Raw genomic sequence first — 18,200 nt, 5'->3', positions numbered from 1 at the left:
TCATAGGCCTTAAACACACACACACATACAACTCCTACAAATAAATGAGTGCATTAAACTAACCACAACATTTTGTGGGGACAAAGAAAGCCCCAGAATTCCTTCTTTTATCATCTGATTAAATAGGCATCTACAAGCTGGCTGCAGTGGCATGCACCTATAATCCTGGTGACTTGGGAGGCTAAGGCAGAAGGATCACTTGAGGCCAGGAGTTTGAGGCTGCAGAACACTACATTTGCAACTGCAAATAGCCACTTCACCTTAGCCTGGACCACACAGTGAGACTCCATTTCTAAAAAAATAATAAAACATAAAATTTTAAAAATTAAGCAGGCCTCCACGATAGCCTCCCTTTATCACTACATCCCTCTTCTTACTGCCTGTCTGATGCTTCCCAGTGCTACTAAATGTCCCTTGTTAGCACTTCCCTTCCACTGCTCCAACCGTTGATACCAATGTGCTCAGGCAGGACACACAAGCTCGGCATCCTGCTCACCACCGCCCTTTGGAAGTAGCCCACACACACGTTCTGCATAAAGCTACAGGGCAGCAGACCCCAAAAGGCTGACTTCTGTCTTTACAGGAAGAGGGAGGGGAGGAGCTAGAGGACACATCTCCAGAGGGTACTCACTGTTAAAGCTGTGACTATCTGGGGACACGCACGCCACAACAGACTTGCTTTCTCTCCACTGAGTGGGCAGTTCAGTAGCAGCCTCAGCAGTGTAACAGCTGACACAACAGCCTGGGGCAAGAGAGAAAAAACTTAGCGGCAGAGATAGCGTGTTCTCCCTTAAGAACTCCGCCTGGGGAAGAAGACTGCTCTCTGGGGCTGTGGCGTTGGAGTGGATTGAGAGCCCTGGTGTCAGGGGAGGTGGACAAGGCCTGCTTGGGGTTAAGTCCTGGGAGGGACACCCTTCACATCAGCATGCAGACAGGAAGGAAGTGAAGAAGATGAGCAGAGCTGGGGCAAAGTCAGGGTCTTTCAGCAGCATTTCACTAAATCAAGCACGTAAATCGGCCAGGACAGTGAATTGCAAAAGGGTCACACACTGTGACCTAATTACAGAGAGCCCGTCTTGTCAAGGCTCTGTCCACGCAGAGGACACTGGCTGTTACTTCACTGAGCAACGATGCACGCTTACAGATAGGAGGGGCTGGAGGAAAATGTGAAAACAATCGGATTAGGTGCTGTGGTCACGGGTGCTACATGCTGACATGAGGGCAATATGACCCAATCGGGTCACATGTTTCAAAATATATGGTGGGAGAGGTCTTAAGCACAGAGTGAGCAGAATTTAACTTTTTTTTTTTTTTCGAGACCGAGTCTCGCTCTGTCACCCAGGCTTGGAGTGCAATGGCATGATCTCTGCTCACTGCAACCTCCACCTCCTGGGCTCAAGCGATTCTCCTGCCTCAGCCTCCCAGGTGGCTGGGATTACAGCCACCCACCACCAGGCCCAGCTAATTTTTGTATTTTTAGCAGGGACGGGGTTTCACTATGTTGGCCAGGTGGTTTCGAACTCCTGACCTCATATAATCCACCCACCTTGGCCTCCCAAAGTGCTGGGATTACAGGCATGAGCCACCGCACCCGGCCAGAATTTAACTTTTATACATATCAGTATTGTGAATATGTAATACTTAGTATTTTACATAATAAGACCACACATTTGTAATTTGAAAAACTTCCCCTTTGAAAAATAAGGTTTTAAACCATGAGATGTGGGCAGAGCCCTACCTTTACGGGGTGCCTATATGAACAAACAGACCCAGTGCCAGGCATTTCACATTGTCAGTGAGTTCCTATTTCAGCCTCACACCGTCCCTTTCTCCCCGAATGCTGTGCAGCCCACCCCACAACCCTAGCCAAAGTCCTGGCTTCTGCCTTTCACTCTCTTCCCTTCCCTGCTCCCTCTGACTAGGCACACCCCAAAGCCCCATCTCCACTCCCACTCTCCTGCCCACCTACAGGCTATCTCCCCACCAGGGCCTGCCCCCCTGGCACCACTTCTCCCTGTCCATCTTCTCACTCTTGCACATCCCCTGCTCCTGGCAGCCCAACACGCTGCCTGCACGGTGCACGCCTCCCTTCCCCTCACCTCTGCTCCCCAATCAAGTCCCCTGCATTCTTCAGTGCACAGCTGGAGTTTCACTTCCTCCGGGAAGTCTCCTGACCAACTGGTCCAAACAGAAATTTAGGTTTGTTTCCTCTCCTGCCCAAATCAGTACCCAATACCAGTGTGCTGTATATGACCAGGAGTCAATAAGCCATTCATGAGGCAGAATATGCCTAGACCAGAGACCTTGGCTGGACTCTCTGCCCCACCAACCATTGGCTCTGTGGCCTGTGGCCTTCTTCCTTGCGTAAGAGATGTCTGACCAGTCCAGTGCCCACAGGCATTCAGAGAAACAAATCCCAGCATGTGAGCTCTGTGCAAAGGCACTCAGCAAATGCAACACCATGCAGGCTGTATTAGCGACTTCTGTCAGAACTGAAGGGGGTAGGCTAACCTAGGTGCTTCTCAAATGCTGGCATGAAGGCAGTATGGCCCAATCAGGCCACATGTTTCAAGAAGTATGGTGTGAGAGGTCTTCAGCAAAGAATGAGCAGAATTTAACTTTTTTATGGATCAGTTTTGTGAATGTGTAACACTTAGTATTTAACGTAATAAGACAACACATTTGTTATTTGAAAAACTTCCCGTTTGAAAACTAAGGCCTCCCTATGCCGCAGCCTGGGCTGTCCCACAGGCCAGGGCTCCCTCTCACAGCCTCCCCCTTTGCCTAGAGTCTCTACCAGTTAGAACTTGTTTAGTTTTAAGGGTGACACCACATCTCAAATCAGTTTTCCCATTTGAGCCGACGTGGTTTCTGAGCCTGCCACACAAGGAGGGAGAAGGCACCCACCTGCACATCTGCTTTCCACATGTTACTGACATCCAGTCCCTGGAGAATACACTGCATCACCAGCCTCAAGTCCTCTGTCGTCCCAACCTCTAACATTTGGGTGAACAAGGCTCCCAAATGAGGCTCAATATCCTGAGTGACCTGAACAGGAATTTCAGGATCTGTGTGGGAAAGAAACCAAAATTGTTAAGATGTGACAGGTGAAATAAACTACCAAGTAGCCATAGGATGAAACTGCGCACAGCTGTGGCCGCCATCAAAAATCACCAAGTTAGGGGCATGGTGATATAAGCACTGGTGGAAAAAGCAGGTACACGTAGTTACTGTGATGCCATGCTCTCACACGCACAGCTACGCCTGTGCATTGTGTGTACACACACAAACACAGAAGACGACAGCCATGCTTAGGAGGTAAACCTGAACCACAGAAGACAGTGATTATTGCTTTGTGCGGTTGACCCTTGAACAATGTTTGAACTGCATGGATCCACTTATACATGGGTTTTCTTCTGCCTCTAGCACCCCTGAGACTGCAAGACCAACCCCTCCTCTTCCTCCTCCTCAACCTACTCAGTGTGAGGATGAAGAGGATGAAGACCTTGATGATAACCTACTTCACTTAATGAATGGCAAATACATTTTCCCTTCCTTGTTATTTTCTTAATAACATCTTCTTTTCTCTAGCTTACTTGATTGTAAGAATATAATACATAAATACATACACAAAATACGTGGTAATCGACTGTTTATGTTCAGCAAGGCTTTGGTCAACAGTAGGCTATCAGTAGTTTAGTTTCTAGAGAGTCAAAAGTAATACAAGATTTTTTTAATAGAATTGTATCAGAAGGATATACACGGAATTTTTTACTGTGCTGGGGGTTGGTGCCTTAACCCCTATGTTGTTCAAGGGTCAACTGTATTTTATTTCTCTATTTTCTTTGTGTTTCTTTATAAAATCGGTAGGGCTGCAAGAGTAGGTGGTATTTTAAACAGATGGGAAAGTCAGAAAGACTAAGAGAGCTCCACTTTTCAGGCCTGGATGACTGTCAGGAAGTCACCCAGCTGTTCCCCATCATCCCCAGTGTCCTTGGGCCCACGGTTTCACAATAACGCCCAAAGCCAGGGCACTCAAGGCCCTTTATCGTCTGGCCCCAGGTCATCTTTCCAGCCAGCGCTTCAGCCCCATCTGCCTATTCCACATTGCCAGAATACCTTCCTGCTTTCCTGTCTTTGCTTACTATTTACAGCACTGGGGGAAAGGGGACTTTTGAGAGGTAAAGACCTAGGTCCAAGTCTCCCACAAGCTGTAAAACCCTGGACCCATGATCTCTCTGAACCTCAACTCCCTCATCAGTGAAGTGGGCATAACAGCACCAACTCCTGTGGCTGGCAAACAAAAAAAGGCCACAGAGCTCACAACATAGTGCCCTCACATGAAAGGCTCCCATTTCCACCTGCCCTAGCTACCCTTCAAGGGCCACTCACACGTGGCCTGTATGTGGCCTCTCCACCGAGTCCCATCGCTCTGGTTCGCTTTATGGCGTCTCCCCCACCTTTACCCTGTGATTTGTGCGAATGTCTGTTTACTTAATTACATAGGCCAAAATCAACACCTCACTCATCTCCAGAGCAGGATACAGCCTCAAACATACAAGCATTTTAATTGGTTTTTTTTATGTTTCTGGAGACAGGGTCTCACTCCATCACCCAGGCTGGAGTGCAGTGGCACAATCATGGATCACTGCAGCCTCGACCTCTTGGGCTCAAGGGGTCCTCTCGCCTCAGCCTTCGGAGTAGTTGGGACCACAGGTGCATGCTACCCACACCGGCTTTTTGTAGAGATGGGGTTTTGCTTTTTCACCCAGGTTGGTCTCAAACTCCTGGCCTCAAGTGATCTCTTGGCTCAGCCTCCCTAAGTGCAGGATTACAGATGCCAGCCACCACTCCCAGCCAAGAAGCATTTTTAGAAGTGTTGATTTCTGTAATTGAATTCAGGTCCTCTGTTCTGCTGTCAGAAGGCATTCTTTACAAAAGCCCACCTCTGAGCCATCCTTAAGGACACAGGGAGAACTCCATGGCTGGGGCACCTGCACGGCGCCTCTTCACACTCCCTCTCCCTGCCCAAAGCCTTGGGCCACTCCTCACTTGGCATTTCTTCCAGAGCACTCACAACTCTGGCACTTCCCTGGACAGTATCTAACAGCTCAGGTGGAAGAGGCCTGGACACAGCAACACCCCAGGCCCATGAGCTGAGGGCACAGTGTGGCAGGCTGGCCTTGCCCAACCCTGACCACACTGTGACCGAGGTGCTCTGTCCCTGAGGAAATAAGGTACCAGCAGTCCAGGGACATACACTTAGGACTTAAAGACTGCCTCAACTTGGCCAGGCACGGTGGCTTATGCCTGTAATCCCAGCACTTTCGGAGGCTGAGGCAGGCAGACCACTTAAGGTCAGGAGTTCGAGACCAGCCTGGCCAACACGGTAAAACCCCATCTCTACTAAAAATACAACAATTAGCCGGGCATGGTGGTGCATGCCTGTAATCCAAGCTACTCAGGAGGCCGAGGCATGGGAATCGCTCAAAGCCGGGAGGCGGAGGTTGCAGTGAGCCGAGACCGGGCCACTGTACTCCAGCCTAGGTGACAGAATGAGACTCTGTCTCAAAAAAAAAAAAAAAAAAAAAGAGATTGCCTCAACTCAGTAGGGTTGAAGAGGAAAAGGAGGACACAATATTCTCTTTAGCTAAGGGGCACAGGGCAGAGCTTCAGACCACCAGCTGCCATTTCTTGGGCCAGTCACTTAGAACACTGTAATTAGGCTTAATAAAAGACTCTATTTTAGCCCCCATTAAGAAGGTGAACACCATTCGCTAAAAGAGACCCTAACACAATAAGACAGAACAATGTAATATCAAAGCCTTTCAGTTAATCCACAATCCAGCCAGAGACAGGTTACTGAAAGGGAGACAACAGCAGCGTGATTTGGCCCATGGCACTTCAGTTCTGGCACTGGCACAGGCAGACCAGATGGCTTTACTTTCTGCGAGAACCCATTTAACCCTCACGTACCGAAAGGCACGCCCGTGGCCCCACCCGTCACAGCTTCTCCACCCAGAAACACAGAGGTTAAGGTGTGCTTAACACAGACGTTAATGTGACATTAACGAGGGTCAGATTCGGCTGACTTCCAGACCTCACCTCAAAAGACTGACCTGACCCCAGCCCTTTCGTTACCACCAAAACAAAAAAGAAAAGACCCCCCACAACTGTGATGTGTGCCATCTTGAAACAAGAAATCTCTTCCATTAACTGTTTGTTTGGGAGGAGTAAAAGTGTGTTTTATTTGTATACCCTAATAAAGGTAACAAATCTTAATCATCCTTCACTGTAGAGGAAAACCTCAACAAACTCTAAATGGGCCTCCAAAAACATTATAATCTATCCCCTGCTTATGGCATATTTAATTAAATCATAGAAAAGTATTTTGATTTATTCTTATTAAAATGCAACATTAAAGTGTACAAAATAAGAAAATAGCAACAATCACAACATGTTAATGCAATAATACAATGCATGTTAATACATGCATGTTAATACAATAATTATTTTAATTTTTGGATGGGTTTCTAGCCTTTGTCTGCACGCATGTATATCTTATATAGCTGTAATTGTGGCATATTTAACATTTCATACTGTACTTTTTTTGCTTAATATTTTCTAGATATTTCTAGCCCTTGTCTTCATAATAGTTTTCATAATTATATTTTTAACGGCTGCATAGTAACCCATTAACCTTTCACCAGGGGGGCTGTAAAGGTCGACTCTGTGCAGGAAGACATGAGCTCTCTTGCTTCGAGGCTGTGTACGAGGTCCTAGTTTGCTGCTTGGAAGGCTGCCTTCAGACTAAAACACTTTGATGACATTGAAGGTTAGCCTTGGTCCAGTGAGCACTTGCACCTGGCAGCACCCTAATATGGTGGGGGGACAGGGGTGAACTAAGGAAGGCACAGTCCTGTCCTCAAGGAACTGTAAGAGGCTCTTTGGAAATTAAGTGATTTGGCTGGACATGGTGGCTCACGCCTGTAATCCCAGTACTTTGGGAGGCTGAGGTGGGCGGATAATGAGGTCAGGATATCGAGACCATCCTGGCTAACATGGTGAAACCCTGTCTTTACTAAAAAATACAAAAAAATTAGCCGGGCGTGGTGGCGGGTGCCAGTAGTCCCAGTTACTTGGGAGGCTGAGGCAGGAGAATGGCATGAACCCGGGAAGCGGAGCTTGCAGTGAGCTGAGATTGCACCACTGCACTCCATCCTGGTAGACAGAGTGAGACTCCATCTCAAAAAAAAAAAAAAAAGAAATTAAGTGATTTGTACTTTTTTTAATTTATTTTTTTATGAGACAGGATCTCACTGTGTCACCCAGGCTGGAGTACAATGGCAGGATCAAGACTCACTGCAGCACCGACCTCCCTGGGCTCAGGTGATCCTCCCACTTCAACCTCCTGAGTAGCTGGGACTACAGACGCATGCCACCATGCCTGGCCAATTTTTGTATTTTTTGTAGAGATGGGGTTTTGCCATGTTGCCTGGACTCAAGCAATCTGCCCCCTCAGCCTCCCAAAGTGCTGGGATTACTGGCGTGAGCTGCCACGCCTGGCTCTGATTTGTACTTTTTTAAAGTTGGCAGATTTTCATATCTTTTTAAAGTCAATTTATGGCACTGAAAGTCTGATACATAAGAACCTACTAAGGATGCAGGTATCTATGTATCTCATTGCAGCCAGGACAAGTTAAAGGCTAAAAAGCTGAAGAGGAGCAGATTTCAAAACTATAAACGTACACAGAGCAACCTCCAAAATCAGTGAGCAACTGAGGTGCAGAGCAACATACGGAGGAGGCTGCTGTTTGCACAGAAAGCAAGGAAACCGTTGTAGCAGTAATTGCTTATGTACGCCTAGAATGTAAATAGAGGGCATGAAGTCGTGGGTGCTGGGCCTAGAAGGGAGGTCTTCTCACTGTCCACATGTAGTACTTTTTTTTTTTTTTGAGACAGACTCTCGCTCTGTCGCCCAAGCTAGAGTGCAGTGGCGCGATCTTGGCTCACTGCAAGCTCTGCCTCCTGGGTTCACGCCATTCTCCTGCCTCAGCCTCCCGAGTAGCTGGGACTACAGGCGCCTGCCACCACACCCGGCTAATTATTTGTATTTTTTACTAGAGATGGGGTTTCTCCGTGTTAGCCAGGATGGTCTCGATCTCCTGGCCTTGTGATCCGCCCGCCTCGGCCTCCCAAAGTGCTGGGATTACAGGTGTAAGCCACCGCACCCAGCCGCACATGTGGTACCTTTTGAACACATCACGTGTTCACTTATTCCCAGTTCCAAAAAGGGGAGCAGTGGAAACCAGACCTCTATAACACAGAATTAGCTCAAGAGAAAATATCTTACCTGCAAGAACTCTTCTCACAGAATGAAACATGGAGGTAAACACGGAGTCCTTTTTGGGATGCAGTTCTGGGGCCAAAAAGAACAGAGTCAAAAACTGCAAGGCTGCCTGAAAAGACTGATCATGTCCCGCGAGAGCTGGCAACTCCAACAGTATCTGAGAGTAAACACCCTGGTAGAGGGCAACATGGGAGAGCAGCGTCCTGTCGCTTCCTTGGGAAATGTCGGCCCCTCCATCCCTGCAGTGCTGACCCAGGTCGGCTTCCAAGAGCGTGCTGACGGATGAGATGAGGACCGAGGGAAGGCGCCAGCCCCGGGCCCCCGGCACTGAGCAGAGCTGCAGCACAGCTCCTGTCTGCAGCACAACCTGCTGCAGCAGCTCAGACAGTGCTGCTGGGGCCTCTTGGCCCAGCTTCTGCTCTTTGAGGAAAGGTCCCAGGACATGGCACAACCTGGTTAAAGACACCAGAAGGAGCTGCCTGCCCTGGGGGTTCTGATTTTCTAATTGTTTGCTTGAAGCTGCCTCCGTGTATGGTTTGGAACTAGAGAGGAATGCGGTGATTTTTCTAAAATTGAGCACCAAGCTCAGCTTCATTTGGATGAGCATCTGCATTAGCTCCTCTAAGAACGTCCCTATCACTTGGAGGAATTCCAGCCAAGCGGGATCATCCATCTCAATAAGGAACCTACTACTAGCTCTGAACAATGAGGTCAGTACAACCTCAAAAATATCACTACCATACATGATCTTGAACACAGAGCGAGCACTTTTCCCCTTTTGCAAGTAACCAAGAAGTTGGTAGCAAGTCGTCAAGAACTTGAGAGCCAGTGAGGAGGAGCAAGAGCATCCTAGTTTGGTGACGGCCATGGACAGTAACACAAGAAAATAATGCACATGATAGGGTGGCAAGAGGCTGTCCAGCTGTAAGGCAGAAATCACTTCCAAAAGCCCCAGGATGCTTTCCAACTGCTCTCCCTCCAGCTGGATAGGGAAGTCACTCTTGACCAGGGACAGTAAGTTCTGGGCAATTTCTCCTCTAGGTTCTATACCTTCGGGTCCAGCTTTTGCAAATCTGTTTTCCCAATGACCCACAACCATGTGGTCCTTTTCAAAAAGCCAGGGAAGCTGCTGACTGACAAGACCTGAGTCACGCTGGGCACCAGAACACAGAATGCTGGAGCAACTTGTGGTTACGCACGTTAAGAAAGCAGAATGAAGGGACTGCATCTCTGGAAAGAGAGGGCTATGAAGGAAGGCTTTGGATATTTTTTCCAGTGTGATGTATGCCTCTTCATCTATTGAGACTTCCTGGGCTTTGCCCATGGGTAAAGTTCTCAGCAGGACACTGGCCAGGTATCCCACATCATCTGGACACAGATAGGATATTAAAATTGTGAGATTTGACACAATCAAGTGCCAGTGTGCTACAGGGTATGTGAGTCCACTCACCATCCCAACTTGGCCATCCCAGGAAGCCGTCGTTCTCTGATTCAAGCTTTTTCTGCCGGAACCAATAATAAAGGCAGCATCGCACCTCAAACTTTGGATGGCTCCTTCAGACCGGAAACTAGTTTGCATTAAAGTCCTTTTCATTTTCTGCAGGTACAGCTGTTCTAAGCAATATGTACCAAGAGAGCTGAACTGAGCTGTAAACTTCTCTATCTTCTTCCAATGCTGTGTTTTTACACCTGGGAGCAACGAAGGGAGGTTCGAGATCTCCAGAGCAACACCTATAAGGGGCCCAGACATAGAGTGATACTGGCTACAGTTCAAACTGAACATAGCGTCCACCTGGGCCCAAGTGTAAGAGAGCAGGAGCACAGAGTCACTGACCTTCTGCAGCCACAGCTCTGGCTCTGGGCCTGGGGTGTCCGGGAGAAGGGCCAGCAGGGGCTGCACGAGCTCCCTCATCATCCTCTCCATCATGCACTGTGTCCGTCTGACAATGGGCAGAGGCGTGCTGCTGTCCAGGCTCCTCATGTTGAACATGATGCAGTGCAGCAGCAAGCTCAGTGACAGTGATTTCAGGGCCATGTCGGCATCACTCTGCAAATAGGGCAAGACTAAAGACTGGAACTTCTCCAGCACAAGGGACCACGTGTCCAGGATCTGACTTGGAGGCAGCTCCAGGAGGCATGCAGAGAGTACCGTGGAGGGGCCCGAGGCCAGCACAGGCTGCCTCAGTGCCTCAGCAGCTGGACGACAGATCACCCCCAAAACCTCTTCAAACAACCGTGGCACTTGTCGGAGTTTGGCATAAGTCTGGAAGACAGTACGAATAAGCGCCTCCTGGGCTTTTTTGGTTCGAAACTCTGTTACCTCGGCATCGATCCACGCTGAAGCCAGCAGGTCATCCAGGTCTGGCTCCAAAATCAAATGATTCAGAGATATCAAAGTCTTCAGACAGCGGAACCAGGCCGGTATGGGTGCTTGTGCATGGTTTATCAGCAGCTCAGCCACGTGGCGGTAAAAGCGGAACTGAGCCTCTTCGTGCCGAATTCTGTCGGCAGCGATGTTGTAGATATTGTTGTTGGCCACTGAGTTTAGTAGCTGTTCCACAACCAAAAGCTCTGTGGTCCAATCTGATGTGGACAGGGCTTTGCTCTGCTCCTCCTGCAGGTGTGAAATCTTCAAGCAGCCAAACAACCTGGGGAGAACCTGGAAGCAGAGAAGCTGGTTTCCCTCCTTAAAGTAAGAATCTAGAAAGAGCTTATACAGCAAGGCCACTGAGTTGGCCACAACAGAGGTATGAAGGGATGCTGCACAGTAGCCAGCATCAACCAGCCTGTTAAGCACGGTGTCCATGGGAGCCAGAAGGTTCTTCATGGCTCCCGTCTTCACATCCCCTTGCTGCTGGTCCAAGAGCCCCTCCTTGTAGGATGACAGTAGCTCAGGCTGAAAAATCCCTCCTCGGAACATGGCCTCAATCTGACTCCTGATGTCCCGGCTCAGCACCTGCCTCAGCTGGCCCTGGCCAGCCTGCGTCCATGTGCCCCCAGAGAGTAAGTGCCTCAGGACCAGGCACGGCTGGAGCAGGTGAGCAGTCACATCCCCAAAGGCACGTCTTGGGTTGACCTGCTGCTGCAGGATCAAGAGATAATGGCCAAGGGCCAGGTGAATGACCTCAAACAACTGGGCTACCACAGCTCCTTCGGGCTGCCTGCAGGCCGACCAGCAAAGCTGGCTCAGCAAGGCCACCATCAGCTCCTGTTTGGCCGTGTAGATGACAGCCAGGGCAGGTGTCGACAGGATGCCCTGGCAACATCGAAGGACAGCACAGATGTTTCTTTGGGATCCCGAAAGAGAGAACTCAGCTACTCTCTCATTGATGATCTGAACATTAAGAAAGAAAGAAAATTCATTACTGACCTTAAACCCATACATACACAAGAAAAGTATTAAAAAAAAAAATCAACAAACTCACCCCTTTCCCTCATCTTGGTAAGAAAGAAATGCCCAGATTACCATATTTCAATGAACCTGACATAAGCTTAGTGCATCAAAATAAGGCAAAGCATCTGTTTCAATTCCTCCACCCATCCATCTTCTACCAATGCAAATCTAGAAAAGGATCCGTGCCTTTGTAAATTTGCTGTCCCTTTTTTTAAAGCTGGGTTTTAAAGGGCTTAAATACCAAATGTCACTTTCTCTTAGATCCTAAACCTGCAATTGAGCTTAGATGTTACCAGGCAGAGGGAAAGTTGCACTTAAATTATGATCTTGTGGTCCAAAATACATGTTTATAGGCCAGGCACAGTGCCTCACACCCGTAATCCCAGCACTTTGAGAGGCCGAGGCAGGCGGATCACTTGAGGTCAGGAGTTTGAGAACAGCCTGGCCAACGTGGTGAAACCTGACTCCACTAAAAATGAAAAAATTAACCGGGCATGGTGGCAGGCAGCTGTAATCCCAGCTACTTGGGAGGCTGAGGCAGGAGAACTGCTTGAACCTGGGAGGCAGAGGTTGCAGTGAGCTGGGATCGAGCCACTGCACTCCAGCCTGGGTGACAGAGCGGGACCCTGTCTGAAAAAAGAAAAAAAAATGCATGTTTATAGTCAATTATACTTTTTCTATTTAAAAAAGCCAAAGCAAAAGGCACTCTTTTAAAAAGGAAAGCAGCTGGGCATGGTGGCTCATGCCTGTAATCCCAACACCTTGGGAGGCTGAGTCGGGGCGGATCACTTGAGGCCAGGCGTTCGAGAACAGCCTGGTCAACATGGTGAAACACCATCTCTACTAAAAATATAAAAATTAGCCGAGCATGGTGGTGCACACCTGTAGTCCCAGCTACTCGGGAGGCTGAGGCACAAGAATCGCTTGAACCCAGGAGGCAGAGGTTCCAGTGAGCCAAGATCACACCACTGCACTCCAGCCTGGGTGACAGAGACTCTATCTCAAAAAAATTTTTTAAAAAGGAAAGCAAATGTTATGTTGCTACTGCTTATTATACAGCAAATCTATTGTCTACTGCTCTCAAAATTCCAAAATTCACAAACACCAGAAATTATGAGAATCAGGCAGATTCTATAATTCAGTCACAGGTTAAGTTACTTGCTCCCAGCCTTATGGAATCTGAGAACCAAACCTATCCCAGGTGCTAAGTTATCAGTGCCCTAATGAGATAGGTATTATAATTTCTATTCAAGTAATTGCTGGCTTTTAAAGTTACTCTGGAAACGCTGTAACAAAGATGAGAAATCCTTAAATGTCAATGCACTATTACAGTGATCTCCAAATTTTTGATGATGATACAACTCATCGATTTTTCCTGCATTTATATTCAATAAGTGTAATTTATTTATAAATTATGCACATATGCTGCAGCACTAACATTTTATATAATTATGAAGCATACATAAAAATAAAATTTAAGTATGGCTTTTTAAACAAGGAGACATTCTAAGATTTTCTTCCCATATTCCAAAAGATCCTTTGAAATAAGCCACTTTGGTGACCACTGGTTTATTATTTTAAAAAGTGACCCAGTTTGGAACACAATCTCAAGAACCATTAAGCCCTATGCGCCATTGGGCAGCTCAACCTTCGTTCCCCTCCGTTACTAGCCTCTAACGATTTTCTCTCAGCCCGCACACTCATGAGGGTGAGGCAGTGTTATGGCTTCATAGCCCAGGATTTACACTCAGGCAGAGTGAGGTTCAAATCCCAGCTGTGCCACTAACTAGCCATGTGACTTTAGGAAAGTTAAACTTCTTTGAGCCTGGCACACATGAAGTGCTCACTAGTAGTAGTTTTTATTGTATCTAGCTATTCTCATGGTATTTAAACACACTCAGTTTTGACAATGAAGTTCCTACTTCTGATCTGAGACTTCAAAATCACTTTCAGTCAAAAACTGAGGTGGCCCCGGGTTGCCGGCCAAGCCACTAGTGGCACTTGTGGCTCGAAGGCCGTAGTGGCAAAAAAAAAAAAAAAAAAAACCTTTGAGGAAATTCCTGTCCGGATTTTGGCCTTTGATCTCCCTCTAGCCCAAAAGAAAGGTAAAGAAGAAGAAAAACAAATCAGAGAAGCATAATTTGCTAGCTACCTTTTCCAATTAAAAAGGTAATCAATGACCTGTTTATGAAATCGTTCCAAGCTTTTTTTGAATATTAAATAACAAAATGCTTAGAGCATATGATACACATTCAATAGTTACTATTTTAATTCCAATAATATTACATCCTTTTTCTCCTACCTTAGTATTTCCTATATCTTCATACAATTGACACTAAAACAAGTTTCCAGCATTAACAAGAAATCAATGGAGATGCATGCAACACATACAGAACAGAAAAGTGAATTACCTTGACTAGGGAAATCTGAAGATTAATGGTCTTTCCATTCTTGAGGAGATTCTGCAATTTTCTGCTATGTAAAATGTTATCTATATAGATCCAAAGCCTTTCAACAATATCTTCCTTCAGTTCAAGCTTTTTCTTATAAAATGCAACCAATGATTGTCTTGCCCAATCAAGTAACACCTGAATTTGAAGGACACATACACTGAAAATAAATTTATTTGCTGAGAGAAAGATGTTAGACATTATAGGGACATTACAGGTATAAGCAAATCCAATTGCCACGGGGGCGGCGGGGGAGAACCTCTCTTTTACAACTTACCTTTGATAATATTACTTACGTGTTCTGGTATTTTAAAATGTTTATTATTAAAGGATAAGAACAGGAAAACAACAAATTTGTCTTCAGCTAGGGCAAATTAAAAGTTTCAGGTGAAACTAACACGTCTTAACCCGTTTTTTGAGGTTATACAGGCATACCTCATTTTATTGTGCCTTGTAGATACAGATATTGCATTTACAAATTGGAGGTTTATGGCAACCCTGTGCCAAGCAAGTCTATCAGATCCTTTATTCCAACAGCATGTGCTTGCTTCATGTCTCTGCCACATTTTGGTAATTCTCCCAGTATTTCCAACTTTTCCATTCTTATATTTGTTAAGGTACTCTGTGACCAGTGATCACTGATGTTACTATTCTAATTGTTTTGGGGCACCATGAACCGTGTCCTTGTAAGTCAGCAAGCCTAATCAATAAATGTTCTATGCATCCTGACTGCTCCACCAAAATGCTATTACCCTGACGGGCTATTTTCCCCTCTCTCCTTCTCCTCTGGCTTTCCTATTCCTTGAGACGCAATAATATTGCAATTAGGCCAGCTAACCCTACAATGGCCTCCAGGTGTTCAAGTGGAAGGACTAGCTGCATGTCTCTTTAAATCCAAAGCTAAAAATAATTAAGCTTAGTGAGGAAGGCATGCTGAAAGGTGAGATAGACCAAAACCAAGCCTCTTGAGCCAATTAACCAAATCGTGAATGCAAAGGAAAAGTTCTTGAAGGAAATTAAAAGTGTTACTCCAGTGAACAACAAATGATAGAAAGTGAAACCGCCTATTGCTGATATGGAGAAAGTTTTAGTGGTCTGGATAGAAGATCAAACCAATCACAGCATTCCCTTAAGCCAAAGCTTAATCCAGAGCAAGGCCCTAACTCTCTTCAATTCTATGAAGGCTGAGAGAAGTAAGGAGGCTGCGGAGGAAAAGCTAGAAGCTACCAGAGGTTGGTTCATGAAGTTTAGGGAAAGAAGCCATCTTCATAACATAAAAGTTCCAGGTGAAGTTATGTAGAAGGTCGAGCTAAAATCACTGATGAAGTTGGCTAAACTAAACAACAGATTTTCAGAGTAGAAGAAACAGCCTTCTATTGGAAGATGCCATTCAGGACTTTCTTTTTTTTTTTTTTTTTTTTTTTGAGACGGAGTTTCGCTCTTGTCACCCAGGCTGGAGTGGAATGGCGCGATCTCGGCTCACTGCAACCTCCACCTCCCAGGTTTAAGCGATTCTTCTGCCTCAGCCTCCTGAGTAGCTGGGATTACAGGTGCCCGCCACCATGCCTGGCTAATTTTTTTTTATTTTTAGGGGTTTCGCCATGTTGGCTAGACTGGTCTCGAACGCCTGGCCTCAGGTGATCCACCTGCGTTGGCCTCCCAAAGTGCTGGGATTACAGGCGTGAGCCACTGTGCCCAGCTACCATCTAGGACTTTCATAGCTAGAGAAGAGAAGTCAATGCCTGGCTTCAAAGCTTCAAAGGACAGGCTGACTCTCTTATTAAGGTCTAATGCAGCTGGTAACTTTGACGCCAGTGCTCATTTACCATCCCCAAAATCACAGGGCCCTTAAGAATTATGCTAAATCTACTCTGTTTGTGCTCTGTCAATGGAAAAACAAAGCCTGAATGACAGCATATCCGTTTACAGCATGGTTTACTGAAGATTTTAAGCTCATGTCAAGACTGATCAGAACAAAAAGATTCCTATAAGAAGATTACTGCTCTTGGGTGACCAAGAGCTCCGATGGAGATGTACAAGGAGATGAATGTTGTTTTCATGACTGCTAACACAACATCCATTCTGCAACCCATGATCAAGGAGTACTTTTGACTTTCAAGTCTTATTATTTAAGAAACACATTTCCTAATGCTATAGGTGCCATAGTGATTTCTCTGACGGATGTGGAGAAAGTCAAACTGAAGATCTTCTGGAAAGAATCACCACTCTAGATGCCAGTAAAAATATTCCTGAATCATGGAAAGAGGTCAAAATATCAACATTATCAGGAGTTTGGAAGAAGCTGATTCCAGTCCTCATGGATGACTTTGAAGGGCTCAAGACTGAAGTGGAGGAAGCAACTGCATATATAATGGAAATAGCCAGGGAACTAGAATTAGAAGTGGAGCCTGAAGATGGGACTAATAAAACTTGAATGGATAAGTTGTTTCTTAGAGATAAGCAAAGAAAGTGGTTTCTTGAGATGGAATCTACTCCTGGTGAAGATGCTGTGAACATTGCTGAAATGACAACAAAGGATTGAGAATAGAACTTAAACTTAGTTGATAAAGCAGTGGCAGGTTTTGAGAAGTCCAATTTAGAAAGAAGTTCTACTGTGGGTAAAATGCTGTGTCTTTCATGAAAGGAAAAGCTCCATCAATGCAGCAAACTTCACTGTTGTCTTATTTTAAGAAGTTGCCAGTCACCCTAACCTTCAGCAATCACTACCCAGATCATCAACATTAAGGCAAGACCCTCCAGCATGATGACTCCCTAAAGGCTCAGATAACCAATAACCACTAGCATTTTTGGGCAATTTTTTAAAATTAAGATATGTACTTTTTTTAGGCATAATGCTATTGCATTCTTAACAAACCACAGTATAGTATAAACATAAATTTTATATGCACTAGGAAACCAAAAAATTTCTGTGACTCACAATATTGTGATCTATTTCAGTGACGTGGAACCAAACCTGCAGTATCTCTGAGATATGCATGTACCAAGTTCTAAAAGTTAGAAATACAAAGACTGCTCAGAATGACCACAGAATGTATCAGACACACGAAGCAAAAAAGTAAGTTAAGAGTTGAAAGTCTGGGATTTGTGTCCTGGCTTCCCCCACATTACCTACAGCTTAACCTCTAATACTACTAATATTTATACATCATCTGGGAGACAGACACAGTTGATATGAAATCATACAAGTGCTTTATGAAAAGGAGGACTGTGCCTATCTATACAGGTTCCATTACGTGTCATGTTTCCTCTTCACAAAACATTGAAGAAAGCTCACAATCCCAGAACTGTCAATAACAGTATGAATAGTGACAGATGCCAGAAGGAATAAAATCTCTCAGTATAACAACAGCAGAAACCTTGATCCAATTGGCTGCTAGAGCCTCCCCTTTGTTTCACCCTGGGCAGCACCTGCCAGGTGATGGCCACGCTGCCAAGATGACTCCCAAGTGCAGCCAGGTGTAGAAAGCACTGGATATGACCGCTGCTCTCCACACCACACGTCATCATCGCTTTACATATGTCATCCATCTTGGAAGCATTTTGTGCTGTCTTCCTTGACAACAGCAACTGGATGTGTATTAATCCAATTTCATGAGCTTGTCATCCTGGTGTTTATCATGCCAACTAATTTTTAGCCTAAAAAGCCTGAGAAATTCTAACAAAATGCAATGCCTTTCTTGGTACCTAGCCCATTTCTAAAATGGCTTTATACAAATACTAACATTTCTCTACTTCCCAACCTTCAATTTATCCAATGCGGAAGACTTTTAACAAAGCACCACCAACCAACAGTTTAAGAAACATCACTTTGGATTTATAAGCAAATGCAGCTATCAATGGACTTTCAGAACCTAACTTCTGTAACTTAATTCCCAATGTGTTCATTAATGCATATACTTAGTTTGTAATATAATGTCTCCAAACAAAAGAAATGCTAAATTCGGTGGGTTCATTTATTTTAAAGAGACAAGGTCTTGCTCTATCG

General features: G+C 45.7%; 1 protein-coding gene across 3 annotated transcripts in view, besides 3 other annotated features; it reads right to left on the bottom strand.

Annotated features, from left to right (window-relative positions):
- The window catches only part of URB2 (URB2 ribosome biogenesis homolog), a 33,954-nt gene that overhangs the window by 13,600 nt on the left and 2,154 nt on the right, over positions 1 to 18,200 (bottom strand). For 2 of the 3 annotated variants that reach the window (NM_001314021.2, NM_014777.4), the window contains exons 3-6: positions 14,156 to 14,332; positions 8,354 to 11,684; positions 2,908 to 3,068; positions 632 to 742 (exon numbers count right to left, since the gene is read on the bottom strand). In NM_001314021.2, coding sequence (NP_001300950.1) covers positions 632 to 742; positions 2,908 to 3,068; positions 8,354 to 11,684; positions 14,156 to 14,332 — 3,780 coding nt within the window. The remainder of the gene's footprint in view (positions 1 to 631; positions 743 to 2,907; positions 3,069 to 8,353; positions 11,685 to 14,155; positions 14,333 to 18,200) is intronic. The other variant, XM_005273360.3, reaches the window with a different exon arrangement.
- Positions 2,060 to 2,219: an enhancer, noted in NCBI's record as "active region_2707". NCBI's record gives its function as "activates an Ori minimal core promoter by ATAC-STARR-seq in GM12878 lymphoblastoid cells {active_cell/tissue: GM12878}" and the evidence as "EXISTENCE:reporter gene assay evidence [ECO:0000049][PMID:35858748]".
- Positions 9,796 to 10,295: an enhancer, noted in NCBI's record as "H3K4me1 hESC enhancer chr1:229772053-229772552 (GRCh37/hg19 assembly coordinates)". NCBI's record gives its function as "activates a minimal SCP1, AML or CMV promoter by ChIP-STARR-seq in primed H9 embryonic stem cells {active_cell/tissue: H9 hESC(primed)}" and the evidence as "EXISTENCE:reporter gene assay evidence [ECO:0000049][PMID:30033119]".
- Positions 10,296 to 10,797: an enhancer, noted in NCBI's record as "H3K4me1 hESC enhancer chr1:229771551-229772052 (GRCh37/hg19 assembly coordinates)". NCBI's record gives its function as "activates a minimal SCP1, AML or CMV promoter by ChIP-STARR-seq in primed H9 embryonic stem cells {active_cell/tissue: H9 hESC(primed)}" and the evidence as "EXISTENCE:reporter gene assay evidence [ECO:0000049][PMID:30033119]".

Source organism: Homo sapiens, chromosome 1 (genome assembly GCF_000001405.40).
Source record: "Homo sapiens chromosome 1, GRCh38.p14 Primary Assembly".
NCBI classification, from domain to species: Eukaryota; Metazoa; Chordata; class Mammalia; order Primates; family Hominidae; genus Homo; species Homo sapiens.
The sequence above is the reverse complement of the archived record's forward strand: the minus strand, read 5'-3'. Positions and strand labels throughout refer to the sequence as shown.